Here is a 21,921-nt window from a genome sequence, read left to right on the forward strand (position 1 = left end):
CCCGCCCCAACCCGGGGCGGCTCCTTCCGAAGGCTCCACTCCAGCGGCTCGCTGCGGGAGACCAAGGCCAGCCGCCGTCCCAGGGGACGGCCCTCGGGGAACCTGAATGACGTGCGAGGCCGTACCTCGGGGCGCTGGACTCCGCTCGGGCGCTCCCGCTCTCCGCTCCCGCTCTCGGGTCCCAATCCCGACGCTCCGCGCGCTCCCGGACTAAGTGCGGACGCGCCCCACGCCCCCCGGCGCCAGCCCGGGACAGCGCTGCACCTGTTGCCACGTGCGACGCGGCGCTCAGCGGCTGCCACTGCCGCCGGCGCACCTGGCTGCACCGCGCGTCCCGGGACCACGCTCGTCCCCGCAGGAGCCCGGGGCTCCGCCGCACCCAGCGCTAGGGCCCAGGCCGGGCCGCGGTAGGTGGGGGATCTGACTCCTGCTTGCCTCTGGCCACCTGCAGGCCGAGGGGCCTCGCACCGCGGGGCGTATAGAAGGTGGGAAGGTTGCAGAATTATCAGGGCGGAAGCTTGCAAGGAAGGAGTCGTGATTGTCTCTTAGAAGGGCTGATTCGCAGTCTGTATTATCTTCATGCTTCTAGCAAGTTTACTAGCAAGTGTGTATTAAAGGTTAAAGAAAGTAGCTTTCCAGCTATTAGAGCTTGAGATACAACGTGGAAAGGAGTCTAGAACCCCAGGGAGATAAACTAGGCTCGACCTACTTTTCTCTAAACACAAACACAGTCCTTGCTGTTTGCTAAACTGAGCAAATTTCATCGACAGCTGTCTTCTAGGTCCGTAAAATATTTTCTTCTATAAAGCATATTTTTAATAGAAAACTTGTCCGAAGATGCTATTCTGCCTGTGAGAGATGTCACATTGCTGAACCGTGAAATGTCAGACAACCTGAGAACAAAATTTTAATATTTCCTTTTTAATTACCTGGATTGTGGTTTGCTAAAAGCTTTTAAAGAGAAGTGAACTTTTTTGGAGAATAGACGTAAGGACTCTGTATTTCACAGTTTTCTATACCATGAATATTAGAATAACTGACAGATGTCTTGCCATTGATAGTTGTAAAGACTTTTCATATGTACAATGATCCATTATTTCCTGACTACAAAACCCAGGGGTATATAGGTCAGATTATCTCCATTATTCAAATGAGGAATTGAAGCTCAGAAAGGTCAAGTGACTAGCGCAAGGTCACACAGCCAGTGAGGGCAAGTGCAAACCCAGCCAGCCTAACTCCTAATCTTCTCTTTTAATTCCATTACATAATGACACCTCTCATTTGCTTCAGAAATCCCTGTTGTAAAGATAGATGCAACTAGCATGATCCGTGTTGTTAGGAAAGGCATGTGATTAATTTTAAATAGATATAGTATTTAACACCACCAGATGAGTCTCCCTCTGAAAAAGCACACAAAAACAAAACAAAACGCTGACATAGTTTCCGCAAGTCACGAGGCAATTATGCTAATTAGCAACAAGCCTCCATCCCTAAGCAGAATAGTTCTTGTGTGAAACATATCATTTAATCTTTATAACCCTGATGTGACCTAGATGATTTGGTCTAAACCCCACAATCCTATTGTGTGGCTTAGTTATATCTATAAATATAGAACCTGTTTTACTTCATTTTTGTGTCAGGTGGTTTGAAGGGGGGAAACATACAATGCTCTGCTAAGTAATTAGAGCTACTTACGCAGGCATTGGGGAATCTGAAACTTAGCTTCTAATTGTCTCCACATAAAAACAGAAGTTAACTTCTAGGGACATCTTCAGGGACTCCTCAAGGCAAATATTCATGAAATGGGGCCTATTGGCTTTTCTTTTCATCTTGGTTCTGGGCATGTTGCCATGTTCCTGATCTCTGAACTCTGATGCTGACCTGCTACAGACTCCAGGAGCAATATTAAGGATAAAATAATAACTCACATAACTTTGTGGCTCTTTATTCTAAAAAAAAAAAAAAAAGTTGGCTCAATTTTTTTTCCTCCATAAGAAAATGCAAATTGCAACTGTATTGAGAAACCATTTTTTCACTTATCAGATTGTCAAAGATTAGAAAGTTTGATAATCACAGTGTTGGTAAAAGTGTAGACTAGCAGTCACAATGAAAATGTAAATGTAAATTATAATGACCTCCCTAGGGGGAAGGTCAGGATACCTAACAATATTGCAACTATACGTATAAGAGTTTATCTTGGCCCTGCGTGGTGGCACGGTGACTCATGCCTGCAATCCCAGCACTTGGGGAGGCCGAGGCGGGCAGATCACCTGAGGTCAGGAGTTGGAGACCAGCCTGGCCAACATGGTGAAACCCTGTCTCAACTAAAAATACAAAAATTAGCCAGACATGATAGCAGGCGCCTGTAATCCCAGCTACTTGGGAGGCTGAGGCAGGAGAATCCCTTGAACCTGGAAAGCGAAGTTTGCAGTGAGCCGAGATTGTGACACTGCACTCCAGCCTGGGCAACGCACCGCGACTCTGTCTCAAAAAAAAAAAAAGAGTTTATCTTACAACACACAGGAGAAATGGTATGTATCTACAACCTTGTTTATTTCAGCATTGTTTATAATAAGATATATTTCAAATACAAATATTCTTTAGTAAAGGACTGATAAATCATGATATAGGCATAAAATGAAATCTTATGAAAGCTTTTAAAAAGACTGAGAAAGCTCTTTGTACTTTTATGAGATGATCTTCAATCTATGTCATGTGCATTTTTTAACACAAAACAATTACCTAATAGTATGCTACAATTTCTACTAAAAGGGAGGAAATGATACAAACTTGTATAGATACATATATAGATATGTTTGTATAAGCATAAACTAAGCATAAGCCACCAGGCATGGTGGCTTGCACCTTTAATCCCAGCTATTTGGGAAGTCTAAGGGGGAGGATAATTTGAACCCAAGAGTTTGAGACCTGCCAGGGCAACTTAGACCCTGTCTCTATAAAAAATACAAAAATTAGCTGCGCATGGTGGCATGCGCTTATAGTCCCAGCTACTCTGGAGGCTGAGGTGGGAGGATGGCTTGAGTCCAAGAGGTTGAGGCCATCGTGAGCCATGATTGTGCCACTGCATTGCAAGCTGGTGACAGAGCAAGACCCTGTGTCAAAAGAAAACAAAACAAAAACCCATAAAATATCTGGAGAGATATACCAGAAGCAGATAACATTGGTTGTGTCTTGAGATGGGAGTTGGATAGTTAAATGGCAGCATTAGAAGAGAAATTTGTTACTAAATACAATTTTGTACTTTTTTTGGATTTTGAGCCATATAAATAACAGAACCCATTCTAATATTTTAAAATGTTTTACCGCATGAAGTTTTGCCATCAGGAATGACCAAAGTTTCTCTGTGAACGAATTTCACTTATAGATAAAATAAATGATTGGTCAGGCATGGTGCCGTGGTAGGTGTATCACCTGAGGTTCGGAGTTCGACAGCAGCTTGACCAACTTGGAGAAACCCCGTCTCTGCTAAAAATACAAAAATTAGCGGGGGCATGGTGGTGCATGCCTGTAATCCCAGCTACTAGGGAGGCTGAGGCGGGAGAATCGCTTGAACCTGGGAGGCGGAGGTTGCGGTAAGCAGAGACCTCGCCATTGCACTCCAGCCTGGGCAACAAGAGCGAAACTCCATCTCAAAAAAAAAAAAAAATGTTCAATAGATGCTTCTGACCCTATTTCTTCTCTAGTTTATCTAAAAAAGACAACTTTGGTACATAAAACTCTAACACAAGTGTGGTGAAAACGATGAATTAGCAAATTGTAAATTCCTTGCAATTTGATTAGCAGTGACATCTCCCTTGGGTAGGGCTTCCAGATAACTTTACCAAAGTTGCATTCAATCAGAAATGAAAAAAGTATTCCAGGCCTTAATTCTCAAGGGGAACTCCATGGAGTCATTGCCTTTGTTCCCAATCCGGGTCCCTTTTTTTTTATTTATGTTTCCTTATGGCACCATCTCACTGAGAAGGGAGTTGAACATCTTTAAAAGACAGAAACAGTACATTTTAAAAATAAATATTTCAAAGTGTAAGTATTTTTAGTATAAAATGGTATTCCCGGAAAAGCATACAGGTAATAGTAAACATACTATTGAGCAACGAATTAAAACACTGAGCTTCCTGAGACCCAGGTACGCCAACCGCTTACATAATTGTCATTTTCAAAAGAGGCTGAAAGTTTCTCAAAGGAAGAAAAACTTTTCCTAGCACTGAATTTTAAGAAAAATTTTTGTCACTCATTTTCAATTCAAGACTACAAAATGGAAAATGACAATATACTATTAAAATACCATAAGGAACTTCATGTGGCTATTTTTCATAGTGACTGTGAATAAAACTAGAAGTTTTTTTCTTCTTTTTTTTTAATAGAGACGGGGTCTCGCTATGTTGCCCATCCTGGGCTCAAGCAATTCTCCAGACTTGGCCTCCCAAAGTGCTGGGATTACAGGCGTGAGCCACTGTGCCTGGCCAAAAAAACAAAAGTATTGTAATAAAACTCAACTTGAGGAAGTTACTCACCCAGACAGGGACCGGTCTTATAACAGCATAATGAGATCAAGGATTGGCTGTAAATAGAAGTGTGGAAAGACGGCAGCTTCTTCAGATATACTTCTGAAAGTCAAATATGCTCATGGTAAAACGTGAACATCTCCACAAATCCCTTACCACAGAGGTAAACACAGTTGCTTTATACAACATTCCAGAAATTTTCTAGTGAGCACTCATTAGACAGGTGCTGAAGCATTGTCAGAAGTTGCGGTAATCTCTGGCAAAGTCCCAGAATGCTGGAATTTTGTGATACTGTCGATGACCTTTTCTTTGTTTTTGTGAAGAGAATGTGTATATTACACATAGTCATATGATTTTTTTTTTTTTTTGAGACAGAGTTTCGCTCTTGTTGCCCAGACTGGAGGGCAATGGCGTGATCTCGGCTCACCACAACCTCTACCTCCTAGGTTCAAGCAATTCTCCTGCCTCAGCCTCCCAAATAACTGGGACTACAGGCATGCACCACCATGCCCAGCTATTTTGTATTTTTAGTAGAGATAGAGTTTCTCCATGTTGGTCAGGCTGGTCTCAAACTCCCACCCTCAGGTAATCTACCCGCCTTGGCCTCCCAAAGTGCTGGGATTACAGGCGTGAGCCGCCGTGCCCGGCCTATGACTTTTAATTCTTGTGTCCAAAGATGGTGAGACATGTGTGGTAAGATACCCAAACTGACCAGCTGTAGCAATGGCTGCATAACAAGAAAGAGAGAACGTGAGAGCAGTAAATGGCCCTGATTTATTTACCAATAACTCCCAGGTTCTTGATTATCTATTTTTTTTCTCAGTGGACTTGAAGACCCAACTGGACTCTCCTCTTTTTTCTTTTCTTTTCTTTTCTTTCTTTTTTTTTTTTTTTTTTTTTGAGATGGTGTCTAGCTCTGTCACCCAGGCCAGAGTGCAGTGGCACGATCTCGGCTCACTGCAACCTCTCCCATCCAGGTTCAAGCGATTCTTCTACCTCAGCCTCCCAAGTAGCTGGGATTACAGGCGCCTGCCACCACACCCAGCTAATTTTTGTATTTTTAGTAGAGACAGGGTTTCACTGTGTTGGCCAGGCTGGTCTCGAACTCCTGACCTCATGATGCACCTGCCTCAGCCTCCTAAAGTGCTGAGATTCCAAGTGTGAGCCACCACGCCTGGCCTTCTTTTTTATTTTCTTATTTTTGAGAAAGGATCTCACTCTGTCAACCAAGCTGGAGTGCAGAGGTGCCATGATGGCTCAACCGCAGCCTCGACCTCCTGGGCTCAGTTGATCTTCCCAAGTAGCAGGGAATGGAGTCATGTGCCACCATGCCCAGCTACTTTTTGTATTTTTTTTATAGAGATGGGATTTCACCATGTTGCTCAGGCTGGTGGCCAACTTCTTAGCTCAAGTTATCTGCCCACCTCGGCCTTCCAAAGTGCTGGGATTACAGGCATGAGCCACTGCACCTGGCCCTGGACTGTCTTCTTAATGCCCCAGAAGGTGACTAGCAGAATAGAAATGTTCTTATGCCGGCTGGGCACAGTGGCTCACACCTTGTCATCCCAGCACTTTGGGAGGCTGAGGCAGGCGGATCATGAAGTCAGGAGATCAAGACCATCCTGGCTAACATGGTGAAACCCCATTTCTACTAAAAATCCAAAAAATTAGCTGGGCATGGTGGAGGGCACCTGTAGTCCCAGCTACTAGGGAGGCTGAGGGAGGAGAATGGCGTGAACCTGGGAGGCGGAGCTTGCAGTGAGCTGAGATCGTGCCACTGCACTCCAGCCTGGGCGACAGAGCGAGACTCCATCTCAAAAAAAAAAAAAAAAAAAAGGTCCTTATGGCAAAGTCTGAAGATTTTTAAGTATCTCAAGAAAGGAGTTTTTTGTTGCAAGTTCAAAGCAGTAGAAAAAATGAAGAAATATAGCTTCCTCTTATCAAAATGACCTGCAGAAGTTTGAAAAACTCTTCCATCTCCCCATCCCATGGAAGGCATCTTCAACAGTCCTGTTCCATTTATAGACTCTGTAGAAGGAACAGTTCTTATAACATGATGCCAAAATTATTCTAGTTCACACACAAACAAGTTGTCCTGTAATTCTGCTGTGGGCCTCCTCATATTAGGAAGAAATTAAGAAAAATATAGTACCACCAGTTTGTTATGCAACCACTTCGAAAATGTTTACTTTGCTTAAAATGTCATGGCTAAAGAAACTACTCGTCTGCATAATCCACTCTTGACAGTGATTCATAACTGTGTGACATTTGGGCTTGGTCAGGCTTTACTCCAGTCAGATTGAGTCTTTCCTTAAAAAGGGGATATATTTTCAATTTCAGAGTATTTACTGCTTCATGACAAATATTAATAACAAGTCTGTGGCTTCGAGGCCTCATACCTTTGAGACTACCACAGTCTACTTAGCATTTTTTTTTTTTTTTACTTAGACCTTTTGAATTTGCTTTTAATTTATACCCCTGGCCTTGTTCTCTTGACCAAATAAAAGCCCTAAGAGAGCTTCCACTGCCAGCAGCCTTCCAATTTGCTCTGTTCCCCCTTGGGCCCTGTTGATTGGGCCCAGTGATCACCTAAAAAGAGTGCAAAGAGTCAGGAAGGCTTGTGGGTTCAGTCTTTCTGTGCTAACACCAGGCCACATCCAGGCCTGATGTACTAACTGATCTCCAGTTCATTCCTTTTGCAATTTTTGGCCTTGATTCATAGTTCCTGATTCTTGATTGGCTCTGAAATCCTCCCCATTTTCAAAAGGGATGCAGTCAAGCAGGCCAAAGCGCTCCATGTTAGCTAACAAATGTTTGCAAATCATAATAATGTAGGAAGAGAACCATAAACTAAATGAACAACAGGCATTAGCCCTCATGCTGTCACATAAGCATTCCTCAAAATATAATCATGCTTCTAAACATGGGCTGGCAATTCAGGAAAGGGCCACTGAAAATATTAGCCTCGTTCTTTTCTCTGTAGAGTGAGCACAGACTATTCCTAAACCACATTGCAGTATGCCAACATTGTAAATTAATGCCTGATTGGTTACCTAGAAGTAAGACAATCTTACTTTTAGGCATCTAGAACACTGAGAAATCCAGGATGGACACTTAACACTACCAAAGATTGATCTATTTTGGGTAAGTATACTTCTGATCTCTTTTTGAGGACTGTATTAGTCCATTTTCACACTGCTATAAAGAACTGCCTGAGGCTGGGTAAATTATAAAGGAAAGAGGTTTCATTGACTCAGAGTTCTGCATGGCTGGGGAGGCCTCAGGAAACTTAACAGTTATGGCAGAAGGCAAGGGAGAAGCAGGTACCTTCTTTACAAGGCGGCAGAAGAGACAGAGAGGGCAGGGGAAACTGCCATTTTTAAGCTATCAGATCTTGTCAGAACTCCGTCACTATCACGAGAAGAGCATGAGGGAAACTGCCCCCATGACCCAATCACCTCCCACCATCCCCCGCTCAACACGTGGGGATGACAATTCAAGATGGAATTGTGTGGGGACACAGAGCCAAACCATATCAAGTACCTACAAAATTATGGTGACTCTTCACTAATTTGCAAACTGATTATCTGCAAATCTTAAATAGGGAATAAAACACAAAAATATCATTATCCCTCCAGAACTGAGGACGCAAATTGGATTTAGAAGACTTAGCTTTGACACCTAGATATGTTTTCATTGATTTGACCTAACTTGATCTCAGTTTCTCTTTTATAGAGTTAGTTCTTTAGATCAGAGGTCCCCAACCCCAGGACTGCGGACTGCCACTGGTCTTTGGCCTGTCAGGCACCCGGCCACACAGCTGGAGGTGAGTGGCATCAAGCAAGCATTACCACCTGAGCTCCAACTCTAGTCAGATCAATGGTGGCATTACATTCTCATAGGAGTGTGAACCCTATTGTGAACTGCACATACAAGGGATCTAGGTAACATGCTCCTTATGAAAATCTAACTAATGCCTGATGATCTGAGCTGAAACAGTTTAGGCCAAAACCATCCCTCCTGCACCCCATTTTGTCTTCCAAGACAAAAGATTATTCAAGGTTGCTATGAACACCTTTATGTGGACAAACTAGAAAACCTAGAGGAGATGGATAAATTCCTGGAAATATACAACCCTCCTATATTAAACCAGAAATAAAAATAAATCAGAAACTGAGCAGAACAATAACAAGTAGTGAGGCTGAAACAGTAATAAGAAAAATTGCCAAGAAAAAATAATCGAGGACCAGATGGATTCACAGCTGAATTCTATCAGACATTCAAAGAAGAACTGGTACCAATGCTATTGAAACTATTCCAAAAGATAGAATAAAACCAGTATTACCCTAATACCAAACCCAGGAAAGGACATAACAAAAAAAGAAGACTACAGACCAATATCCCTGATGAAGATAGATGCAAAAATCCTCAACAAAAGGATTCTCAACAAAATACTAGCTAACCAAATACAATAGCATATCAAAAAGATAATACACCATGATCAAGTTGGTTTCATACCAGGAACGCAGGGATGGTTTAACACATACAGGTCAATAAATGTGATATACACCACATATGGTTGTCTTATGAAAGTTTTTGTCAAGTAGATGCCTCAGGAAGTGCTCATGGAAACAATATTCCCTGAATTTTTGCACAGTGATTACATTTCGTATGCTGCCTTTATCTTGGAAAGCTACTGACTCACATTTTCTTTCATTGAATATCTTAAATATGTTACTCCATTTTTCTTCTACCTAAATCATTGCTGTTAAAAAAAATTTGATGGCAAATCTGATTTTTTTTTCCTTTATAAGTGGATTTTTTTTGCCTAGAAGCCCAAAATAATTTTTTCCCCTTTAAAATGTGTAATTTTGGTGGGATGATCACTTGAGCTCAGGAGGTCAAGGCTACAGTGAGCTGTGATCACACCACTGCACTTCAGGCTGGGGGTCAGAGAGAGACACTGTCTTGAAAAATATATTTTTTTAGCTACTAATTTCATTATAATAAGTTATGGTGTTACTAGTCCTGGGTCAGTTTTTCCAGGTATGTAGTATAACCTTTCACTACGTAGCTTCAAATACATATATTGTTAATTTGAAGAAAATGTTCTTCATTATAGTTTTTTGGTAGTCCTTCTGTGCCTTGCTTTGGTTTTTCTTCTTGAGAAACTCTTGTTAAACATATTTTTGTATATCTTTTTTGCCTGTCTCTAAGTTTGTTTCTTTCTCTCAAGCCCTTTTTATTACTTTCCTTCAATTAAAAAAAATTTTTTCTCTTTCATCTTCTCTTCTTAAGGTATTCTCTGTGTTTATTTATTCTTCCATTACTTTCAGTTTAGTTTTTTTTTTTTTTTTTTTTAAGAGATGGGGTCTCACTTGTTGCTTAGGCTGGTCTTGAACTATTGGGTTCTTGAACTACTGGGTTCAAAGGATCCTCCCGCCTCAGCCTCTCAAAGTGCTGGGGTTACAGGCATGAGCCACTGCACCCAGCCTAGTCTCTGTTTTTGACTAGTGTTTCTACGTCTTTTTCCTTGGCCTAGTGTCTGTTTTTGACTATTGTTTCTACGTCTTTTTCCTTGGCCTAGTCTCTGTTTTTGACTATTGTTTCTACATCTTTTTCCTAAGTATATCTATCACCTCATTTCTGATATTTCCCAATTCTCATTTTTCTTGTTTTTTCCATATCTTGGATGATTTCTTTAATGTCTTCTAGCACACATTGAAATAATAAGTCATGGTTTGCATCTGCTCTGTAGGTATGTCTTTTTAGCATCTTTGGCATTGTCTGTAGGGATGTTTTTCAGTTTCTTCTCTTTTTTTCCTGACAGTAATTTTGTATGAGATTTAATCTTGGTATTTTTTTGCTCATTTAAAAAAATATGAAATAATTTTCTTAAACTTTCAGGAGGAGGTAGGATTTGGGAAAGCATTTCCAATTTCACAACCTGATCGCTCTCTTTTTTTGTTGTATTTGTGTGGTGGTTAAAACTATCGGGGCTTACTTTTTTTTTTTTTTTTTTTTTGTTTGACAGATCTCGCTCTGTCGCCCAGGCTGGAATGCAGTGGCGTGATCTCGGCTCACTGCAAGCTCTGCCTCCCAGGTTCACGCCATTCTGCCTCAGCCTCCTGAGTAGCTGGGACTACAGGTGCCCACCACCACGCCCGGCTAATTTTTTGCGCCCACTACCACGCCCGGCTAATTTTTTGTATTTTTAGTGGAAACGGGGTTTCACCTGTGTTAGCCAGGATGGTCTCGATCTCCTGACCTTGTGATCCGCCCGCCTCAGCCTCCCAAAGTGCTGGGATTACAGGCGTGAGCCACCACGCCCGGCAATCGCGGCTTATTTTCTGAGATGGTCAGACTCTGTTTTCTTTCCTTGCTTTCATCTGGACCCCGTCTTTCCTTGATCTCTATCGTCCCAGTTCCGTACAATGAGCATTCTTTTCCAAGAAGTTTCTTCTCTGTGCAGTGCTTGTCCAGGAGTGGAAATTTGGGTGGTTAGTTTGGAACATTCATTGTGCCCGTCAGACACTTTGCATTCCCCTGACTTTGGAGTGTGCAAAACTTTTTCCAGTTTCAGCTGCTGTTCCCAAGTGGAACCTCCAAGCTTTCCAGCAATTGCCTGCTTGCTATTTTGAGATTATCAGATTTATCAGAGTCTCATGAATTCCCTCCACTTTCTATTATACAGTTGCTGATACCACCTAGCCCTTGTATCTGTCTATGGCTTTCCTCAATTCCTTATGTTCTAGGGTTCGTGGAGACACTTCATCACCTAATTTTGTTATAGATGTTGTCCACGGGTTTTTTATTTTATCTTTTGTCCTTTGTCTATATTTGTGGCAGAATTTTAAGGTTAAAAAATGATGACCCCCGGATACAGGTGACCATTGTAAGGGTACAAGGAAAATATCCCCTTTGTCCTCTGAAGATTTGCTTAAAAATCAACTCATAAAAGTCAGATTAATTGGAGTAAATGTATATAAATTTTATTAACGTGTACATGAGAGCCTTTAGAATAAAGACCCAAAGATATAGAGAAAATTATCTTTTTTTGTTTGTTTTTGTTTGAGACAGGGTCTTTCTGTCACCCAGGCTGGAGTGCAGTGGTGCAATCACAACTCACTGCAGCCTCGACCTCCTGGACTCAAGGGGTTTTCCCACCTCAGCCTCCCAAGTAGCTGGGACCACAGGAATGAACAACCTACTAATTATTTTATTTTTAGTAGAGACAGGGTCTAGCTATGTTGCCCAGGCTGGTCTTGAGTTCCTGGGCTCAAAGGATTCCCCCACCTCAGCCTCCTGAAGTGCTGGGATTATAGGCATGAGTCCTCGAACCCAGCCTGGAAATTATTTTTATGTTTAGGTTCAATAAAGTATGGACAACCATGTAGAAATGTAACTGGACAAAAAGGGTACCATCTAATGTTAATAGACAAAGTAGGGAAACCCAGGAAGGCCTGGGTTAAACGGTAAGCTTAGATAGTAAGACCTGTGTATTAGTCTGTTCTCATGCTGCTAATAAAAACATACCCGAGACTGAGAAATTTGTAAGGAAAGAGGTTTAATGGACTCACAGTTTCACATGGCTGGGGAGGCCTCACAATCATGGCAGAAGGCAAAAGAGAAGCAAAGGCATGTCTTACATGGCAGCAGGCAAGAGAGGTTGTGCAGGGGAACTCCCATTTATAAAACCAAGTTTTATTCACTACTGCAAAAACAGTATGGGGAAACTGCCCCCATGATTCAATTATATCAACCTGGCCCCACTCTTGACACGTGGGGATTGTTACAATTCAAGGTGAGATGTGGGTGAGGACACAGCCAGCCCGTATCAGCCCATGTGTCTCTCTGAGTATGTATGTTTTTCTTTTGCATGTAGGGCAGGACCCTTTCTAGAATGGGGATCGTATGGCCTATAATTAAATAAGGTAGCTCAGATAATTTTTTTATGACCAGGTTTTACACAGAAAGGTGCAGGAAAAATTAGAGTAATATTTTTAGGTTTTTTATGGCTGGCTTTGGGGCAAAGAGGTTCTCATTTGTATGACCCGCCTTGGGGAAGAGGGATTCTAGTTTCTATGGCAAGCCTTGAAGCAGAAAGGGACCTTAGTCTTAGACCAGTCTTAGTCTTAGACAAGAAGACATGAGAAAATTAGAAAAAAAAGTTTTACTTGTAAGACTATTTTGGAGGCCTTTATTTTGGGGGTGTGTTTTGAGTCCAAACACCATCAGATAGATCTTGGTAGCCACCAGCTATATATGGTGAGTACTCCTTGACAGCACCAAGCATGAAATGCTCAAACAGGTTGGCAGAAGTCCCTGTGAATGCTCAGAGGGTGCCATAGAGAGGAAAAAAGAGCAGAAGGCAACCAGCTTTTATCTGAGATCTATGTGCCAGATATTTTGCTAGTAGCTTCCACATATATTATTTGATTTGATTTAATCTAATAATCACCCCCATCTTCTGAAGTAGAATCTTCAGGTCTTCCTAAGTCCTATGCTCATTCAACATGGAATTGTGAGAAACTTAATCTCCCTGATGGAATAGGAATCAGTTAAAGTGCGACAGAGTAGAGGCACCTGAGTCAGCACTAATGAACCTTGTGAAGTCCTTTAGTGTTTGTCAAAACTACTGTAAAGATACTACCTGAGACTAGGTAATTTATAAAGGAAAGAGGTTTAATTGACTCACAGTTCTGCATGGCTGCTGAGGCCTCAGGAAACTTACAATCACTGTGGAAGGGGAAGCAGGCATGTCTTACATGGCGGCAGGCAAGAGAGAAGTAAGTGCAACCAGGGGAAATGCCATCATATCTCATGAGAGCTCACTCACTCTCATGAGAACAGCTTGGAGGAAACCACCTCCATGAGCCGATCACCTCCCACCAGGTTCTTCCCTTAACACCTGGGGATGACAATTCAAGATGAGATTTAGGTGGGGACACAAAAGCCTAACCACATCAATATTCATCATGGATTCAAAGATTTCTTGATTAAAATTACGAGATATTAAGATTAATTATGATGATTATAAAAATAATACCAAACCTTGATTATGTACCATGCACGATTTTAGTCATTTTACACTTTACATGTATTAATTGTTTAAATATTCATAACAATTCTATTAGGTAGATATTATTATTGCATTCTTCTTCTTTTTCTTTTTTAAGAGACAGGTATTGCTATGTTGCCCAGGCTGCTGCTGGCCTCAAAGCCCTGGACTCATGTGATCCTCCCACCTTGGCCTTCTGAGTAGCTGGGACTACAGTCATGTGCCATGGTGCCCAGCAAGTAGATACTATTATATTCATTTTATAAGTGATGAAGTTGAAACCCAGTCTAGTTATAAATATGCCCAGTGTCACGAAGCTAATAAATAACAGGATTAGGATTGAAATCCAGGTCAGTCTGACCTTGAACCACCAAATACACTGCCTTCTTATAACTCAGCTCTTTGGAGTTCTACATTTGATTTACTTTTGTGTTTCAACCCCAGATGTATAGTTCAAAAATAATACATAACTTTAAAAATAAAGATAATTTTTAATGAAAAGAACCAGAATTAATTGTATAATCTGTTGTTAGAAAAATCTTTTGGCCAGGTGCGATGGCTCACAGCGGTAATCCCAACACTTTGGGAGGCCAAGGCGGGCAGATCACGAGGTCAGGAAATTGAGACCATCCTGGCCAACATGGTGAAACCCCATCTCTACTAAAATACAAAAAATTAGCCGGGCATGGTGGTGCACACCTGTAGTCCCAGCTACTCAGGAGGCTGAGACAGGGGAATCACTTAAACCCGGGAGGCAGAGGTTGCAGTAAGCCAAGATGGCACCACTGCACTCCAGCCTGGTGACAGAGCAAGACTCCGTCAAAAAAAAAAAAAAAAAAGAAAAAAAAACTCTTAATGAAGAAATACAAGTCAGAAACACTTGAGCCAATTTACTTAAAAAACAGAAACATACAGAGGGTACCCCTACGACCACTATCACTAAACAGAGAATGTAGAAAGATTTAAGTGTGTTTTACATGTTACATGGTTGCATACTTAAAATGTCAGCAGAATCAAACAAAAAATAGTTATACACAACTAGAAGACAGAATTTACCGTATCAATAATACATTAAATAACCCAGCAATAAAATTAACTTGAAACAGATGTGTTTCTTAAAAAAATTGATTGAAGGGACAGAAAGATTTCCTGACAAAGATGCCAAAAGCAATTGCAACAAAAGCAAAAATTGACAAACGGTATCTAATTAAACTAAAGCACTTCTACACAGAAAAAGAAACTATCATCAGAGTGAACAGACAACCTACGGAATGGGAGAAAAATTTTGCAATCTATTCATCTGACAAGGTCTAATATCCAGAGTCTACAAGGATTTTAAACAATTTACAAGAAAAAAATGAACAATCACATTAAAAAGTGTGCAAAGGACATGAACAGACACTTCTCAGAAGACATACATGTGGCCAACAAACATAAGAAAGAACTGATTATTAGAGAAATGCAAATTAAAACCACAATGAGACACCATCTCACACCAGTCAGAATGGCTATTATTAAAAAGTCAAAAAACAACAGATGCTGGAGAGGATATGGAGAAATAGGAAGGCTTTTACACTGTTAGTTGGAGTGTAAATTAGTTCAACCACTGTGGAAGACAGTGTGGTGATTCCTCAAAGACTTAAAGGCAGAAATACCATTTGATTCAGCAATCCTATTATTGGGTATATACCCAGAGGAATAGAAATTATTCTTTTACAAAGATACGTGCACGTGTAAAAATAAAAAGATACGTGTACACGTATGTTCATTGTGGCACTATTCACGATAGCAAAGACATAGAATCAACCTGGACGCCCATCAACAACAGACTGGATAAAGGGAATGTGGTATATATACACCATGGAGTGCTATGCAACCATAAAAAGGAATGAGAACATGTCCTTTGCAGGGACATGAATGGAGGTGGAAGCAATTATCCTCAGCAAACTAACACAGGAACAGAAAGCCAGTCACCGCATGTTCTCACTTATAAGGGGGAGCTGAACCACGAGAACACATAGACACATAGACGGTAACAACACACACGGGCCTCTCCAAGAAGGTGGGATGGTGGGAGGGAGAACATCAGGAAGAATAGCTAATGGATGCTGGGCTTAATACCTAAGGGATGGGTTGATCTGTGCAGGTCTGTGTAGCAAACTACCACGGCACACATTTACTTATATAACAAACGTGCACATCCTGCAAAGGTATTCAGAACTTAAAAGTTGAAGAAAAATAAGTTGATTAAATTCTAATAAAAAAAGGTAAACATACCTAAATAACTATGCTACATTCTTTTTTAGAGAGATTAAATAAGACATCAATTAAAAATGTTTAATATATAAATTTATTGCAGTTATAAATTCCTGTGAGAACCAATAGTGAAAAATAAATGGATGACATTATCAAAACATTTTCATTGGGAATAAGGATGAACTCAGCAAACTTGGAAAACTGAACACACTGCAACAATGATCAAAATCTTATGGCCTTGGGTTATTACAGTCGGAAAAAAGAATCCAACCTATAGGGCAAGGGAAAACCACATAATAAGTTGTCTTCCAAATAGTTGGCTAACAGGCTGGAAAAAACATCATGTTAGATACGTAAATACACGGAAACAAACAGTATAATAAATTCCAGCTGTATCAAAAAGTAAAAGCCCTTTTTAAAAAATGGAAGAGTGGTTTATCTATTTCCTATGAGAAAAAGAACATGCATTTTTATTTTCTTTTTTGAGACAGTGTCTCACTCTGTTGCCCACGTTGGATTGCAGTGGTGTGATCATGGCTCACTGCAACCTCAGTCTCCCGGGGTCAAGCAATCCTCCCATCTCATCCTCCCAAGTAGCTGTGACTACAGGCATGCGTCACCATGCCTTGCTAATTTTTTAATTGTTTGTGGAGACACAGTCTCACTATGTTGCCCAACCTGGAGAACATGCATTTCTAATCACTGCAGAAAACAAAGGTTGTTACCGGAAGCAGGGGTGATTAATTGAGCAGATTTAAATTTTTTAACTTTCATGCAACAAAATGTAAAATAAAAATGCTATAAAGAAAACTTTCCAGTATAGAATAGATATATTACAAATATAACGTGATAATAGCTTTCTCCCAAAATATATGAAAAAATAAATGATTATGTAAGTCAATAACCACTTTCCACTTGATGAATGGACAGTTTGCAGTTAGGAACATTTAGACTACATCATTGTGTTTTTAAAAATCAGTTTTATTAAAAAATGAAAATAAAGGTTAATTAAACTCACATGAAGACTCTCTTACAGATGCATTAAACTGGAAGACATTTTTTATTTTTTATTTTATTTATTTTTTTTTTGAGACGGAGCCTCACTCTGTCACCCATGCTGGAGTGCTATGATGCGATCTTGGCTCACTGCAACCTCTACCTCCCGGGTTCAAGCGATTTTCTTGCCTCAGCCTCCCAAGTAGCTGGGTTTACAGGCACGTGCCACCACACCCGGCCTGTTTTTGTATTTTTAGTAGAGATGGGGTTTCACCATGTTGTCCAGGCTGGTCTCAAACTCCTGACCTCAGGTGATCCACCCGCCTCAGCCTCTGAAAGTGCTAGGATTACAGGCTTGAGTCACTGCGCCCAGCCTGGAAGACATTTTTTAGCTTGTAAAACTGAACCTGGACAAGTCTTTGGGAGGAAGGCAGACGTACATTTTGTATGTTAATGGTAGAAATGTAAAATGGTTACATATTTCTGGGGGGTAATCTATAACATGCTCTTTGACCTATTACCCGTTCCTTCCCCTGAGAAAGGAAAACTAACTTATAAAGCAATTTTCATTGCAGCCTTACCTATAATGGGGAAAATTAGCTTCAGTTCAAATGCCCAATAGTATTAACATGTTTAAGTAAACCATGGTGTATTACCATATACAAATTAAAATGACAAGTAAATGGAGGATGTAATACATAGATATGTTTATGTGAAACAAGGTGAAGTAAACAACTTGAACCCATGATAACTTTATACAATTATATAGACATATATAAATGTAGGCCAGGTGCAGTGGCTCACACCTGTAATCCCAGCACTTTGGGAGGCCAAGGCAGGTGAATTGCTTGAGTCCAGTAGTTCCAGACCAGCCTGGGCAACATGGTGAAACCCTGTCTCTGCAAAAAATACAAACAAAATTAGCCAGGTGTGGTGGCACAAGCCTGTAGTCTCAGCTACGTGGGAGGCTGAGGCAGGAGGATCGACTGAGGTTGAGGCTGCAGTGAGCCATGATCACACCACTGCACTCTAGTCTGGGCTACTGAGTAAGACCCAGACATTTATATTGCTTTTTCCAGGTATGTTTTTTATATACACATATATATATTACATATGTTATATAATGTACATAATGTATATTACATATGTTATATAATGTACATAATGTATATTACATATGTTATATAATGTACATAATGTATATTACATATGTTATATAATGTACATAATGTATATTACATATGTTACATAATGTACATAATGTATATTACATATGTTATATAATGTACATAATGTATATTACATATGTTATATAATGTACATAATGTATATTACATATGTTATATAATGTACATAATGTATATTACATATGTTATATAATGTACATAATGTATATTACATATGTTATATAATGTACATAATGTATATTATATGTTATATACGTATATTAATATGTATATACATATTAATATACATATTAATATATGTATATTATATATGTATATGTATATAGACATAATGTATATTATATATGTATATACATATGTATACATGTTTATTATATACGTATGTTATATAACATATATAATATACGTATGTTATATAACATATATAATATACGTATGTTATATAACATATATAATATACGTATGTTATATAACATATATAATATACGTATGTTATATAACATATACGTATGTTATATAACATATATAATATACGTATGTTATATAACATATAATATACGTATGTTATATAACATATATAATATATGTATATTATATAACATATAATATACATATGTTATATAACATATATAATATACGTATGTTATATAACATATATAATATACGTATGTTATATAACATAATATACGTGTTATATAACATATATAATATACGTATGTTATATATGTATATATGTACACATATGTTTATATGTATACATATATGTATATGTACACATATGTTTATATGTATACATATATGTATATGTACACATATGTTTATATGTATACATATATGTATATGTATAGATCTACACACATATACATATATATGTGTATATATATATGACAGCATCAGTCTTAATAGCTTAGATGATTTCTATTTGCTAATTGCTTTAATTGACCTCCAAATTCTGGTCCTTACATCTCATGTCTACATCTCCATTCATTTCTCTAGTGTGAAAAAAAAGGAAAAAACTGAAAATCTCAAGAGGATTCCAGGAAATCAAAACAATGAATTATTGAATCAAGAATTTGAAAGAGAAAATAGATGCATACTGAAAAAAGAATTTTGTTTAGTGAGATAGATGTAATAATGAAGGCATGTTGATAACGGGGGAGCTATGTATATATGAGGGGAGGGATATATTGGAAATCTCTGTATCTTCCTCTCAATCTTGCTGTGATCCTAAAACTGCTCTAAAAAATATTTTGAGAAGGAATAATGATGTGGTAAACATGTTCTGTTATTTAAAAAGAGAGACTTTTCATAGCCGCCTCCCTCCCCCTCTACACACACACAGAGTCCTGTCCGTCTTCATTCCCTTACTCAATAATTTGTACAGACACAGCCACTGGGCTCCAGTAATCCTAAAGTTTCTAGAAAATCAAGCACAGAAAAAGGTTAAAACCCTGAGGGAATAAAAGAATTCCTTTGCATCCATTGCATTTCTCAGGAAGTGAACTAACAAATTCACTGCTTTTAAATGAGGAAATTTTCTCAGTGAAATTGATTCCAAACCTTCGTTAGGTCAACTGTTCCCAGATTTCTTAGCTGATGCCTGATCTGACTATTCCTTATCTTTAGTACAGAAACCAAGGTGAATGACCTTTAAAAAACATATTAGACTGTTGACGTGTCTTCTATGTTGTACTCTAGGTAAAAACGATAAACCAGGAAAAAGAAAGTAAAATTCAACCTTAGGCTCATGGATCCAGAGTGGATAATTATGAGTCTGTAGTATCTACATGCATGTGATGAGGTTCAAGGACAATAACCATAAAGCAAAGACTTAAAAGGTTTTATCATTAGAATAATTGTAATTCACTTGATCTCTCAATGTAACAATACTTCGGTCTACTGTCTCAAGCCATTATTATGTCTTACACTCAGCATATTGGTTTGTCTACCATTAAATATTTATTTTCTACAGTGCTTTCTGGAAGGCAAACAAAGCAGCCACTCTGCTACTTTATATTGATTCCTGAGTTGTCCTTCGGAAACGCTTTCAGGAAGTTTAATAGGTTTGAAAGATATTTAGACCTGTGACTGGCAAATATACTTCCTTCTTTTTATTTCAATAAGAGAGTACTAGAACTTAGATCTTTATTGTTTAATCTAGTCAGTGCTGTCATTGTCAATCAAGTTCTCAAATGACACTTGTCCTGAGCTGTAACTGATCTATTCAGAAGAATATGAAAATAGTAAAGACGGCAACTATGCATGTTTTTACCGGACACGATTTTAATTGCTTTAAAATGAAGTTATGCAACCAATGAGGAATGGAGCTTTTGGAGTGGCCTGAAGCTAAAGGTTTCAGGTGTATTTTTGCTTTCTTTGAAGAAAGAACCAAATCATTTTATTTAATAAAAAGGCCATTTATCAAGAATTTCTTAAAGCTGTTTTAAACCTGAGTTTGCAATTTATAGAATATGTTCAAGCAGCCTCAGTGCCCTTTTAATTGGATGGTTTTCACAGATTTATCCAATTTGAGATTTATCCAGTGAGAATTCCCTTTGTTCAAGTATATATGTCTTCTCTTCCATAAAGCAGATTCAAATGAAAGAGTGCAATCTGATATATCAGACATGTCAGTTATACATTTGATGTGGTAAATTTATAAGAGAGGCCAATTATTGTTATGAAAAAATACAATGAAATACATGATAGTCATTTACTGTTTTTATAACTAATCTAAAAGTATTTACTAAAAAGAAACTATTTCTTTTCATATGTACTTTACTTTTTACTTTAACCCTTCATATGTCCTTTAAATAAAGAGAAGAAAAAAAGTCATTTATATTTATCCACATATTTTCTATTTCAGGTGGTCCTCATTCATTCTTGTAGATCCAAGTTACCATCTGTTATTATTTTCTTTGTCACCTGAAGAATTTTCAGAACTATTTCTTCCTATATGTAGCATGTATAGATACTCTAAAAAGTCCATTATATGATGTATAAAACAAAGCATACAATGTAGTCTCTGCCCTAATTATTTGTAATTTATATAAAACCTTTTATTTTTTATTTTTAATTGTTTATTTTATTTTGTTTTGTTTTATGTTTTTGAGATAGAGTCTTGCTCTTTTGCCCAGACTGGAGTGCAATAGCGTGGTCTTGGCTCACTGCAACCTCTGCCTCCCAGGTTCAAGTGATTCTCCTGCCTCAGCTTCTCCATTAGCTGGGATTACAGGCAGCACCACCATGCCTGGCTAATTTTTGTATTCTTAGTAGAAATGGAGTTTCACCCTGTTGGCCAGGCTGGTCTTGAACTCCTGACCTCAGGTAATCTGTCCGCCTTGGCCTCCCAAACTGTTGGGATTACAGATGTGAGCCACTGCACCCAGCCTAATTGGTTATTTTATTATTTAGACTCCACATATCAATTTTCTTACTATGGCGATATGAAATAGCAATTAACCTTGAAATATCATTTATTTTTCCCTATTATTACATTTCCCTTAAGAACTACAATAAGTTATTTTACTGAAAAACATTGTCCTTAACGTACCATGAGCTAATCATTCAAGAATTGTGACTAAATTATCTAAATTATTTCAGTGTAATCACCTGAGGTTCTAGGTAAGCCCTCCTTCTCATTCTCTGCTTCACACATGCCAATGATTAAAAGATCAGATTATCAGCCAGGCACGGTGGCTCATGCCTGTAATCCCAGCACTTTGGGAGGCCGAGGTGGGTGGATCAGGAGGTCAGGAGTTCGAGACCAGCCTGGCCAACACAGTGAAACGCCCCCCCGCCCCCCAGTCTCTACTGAAAATACAAAAAAAATTAGCTGAGTATGGTGGCAGGCACCTGTACTCCCAGCTACTCAGGAGGCTGAGGCAGGAGAATC

General features: G+C 39.1%; 1 protein-coding gene and 1 long non-coding RNA gene across 5 annotated transcripts in view, besides 2 other annotated features; one reads left to right on the plus strand and one right to left on the minus strand.

Annotated features, from left to right (window-relative positions):
* The window catches only part of MTUS1 (microtubule associated scaffold protein 1), a 157,720-nt gene extending 157,534 nt beyond the window's left edge, over window positions 1-186 (minus strand). The window contains exon 1 of the mRNA NM_001363061.2: window positions 126-186. The gene's annotated coding sequence lies outside the window, so the exon portion shown is untranslated. The remainder of the gene's footprint in view (window positions 1-125) is intronic.
* On the plus strand, window positions 7-20,861 carry MTUS1-DT (MTUS1 divergent transcript). 4 transcript variants are annotated; one of them, NR_186406.1, is made up of 4 exons: window positions 9-407; window positions 7,607-7,670; window positions 8,262-8,352; window positions 19,023-20,861. It is a non-coding gene; the product is annotated as an MTUS1 divergent transcript (long non-coding RNA). The 4 variants fall into 4 exon arrangements; NR_186404.1 differs by lacking the exon at window positions 9-407 and adding an exon at window positions 1,145-2,531; NR_186403.1 differs by lacking the exon at window positions 7,607-7,670 and having other exon boundaries at window positions 7-407.
* Window positions 73-132: a silencer, noted in NCBI's record as "silent region_18964". NCBI's record gives its function as "represses an Ori minimal core promoter by ATAC-STARR-seq in GM12878 lymphoblastoid cells {active_cell/tissue: GM12878}" and the evidence as "EXISTENCE:reporter gene assay evidence [ECO:0000049][PMID:35858748]".
* Window positions 173-362: a silencer, noted in NCBI's record as "silent region_18965". NCBI's record gives its function as "represses an Ori minimal core promoter by ATAC-STARR-seq in GM12878 lymphoblastoid cells {active_cell/tissue: GM12878}" and the evidence as "EXISTENCE:reporter gene assay evidence [ECO:0000049][PMID:35858748]".
* Window positions 20,862-21,921: the final 1,060 nt, after the last annotated feature.

Source organism: Homo sapiens, chromosome 8 (assembly GCF_000001405.40).
Source record: "Homo sapiens chromosome 8, GRCh38.p14 Primary Assembly".
NCBI lineage: Eukaryota > Metazoa > Chordata > Mammalia > Primates > Hominidae > Homo > Homo sapiens.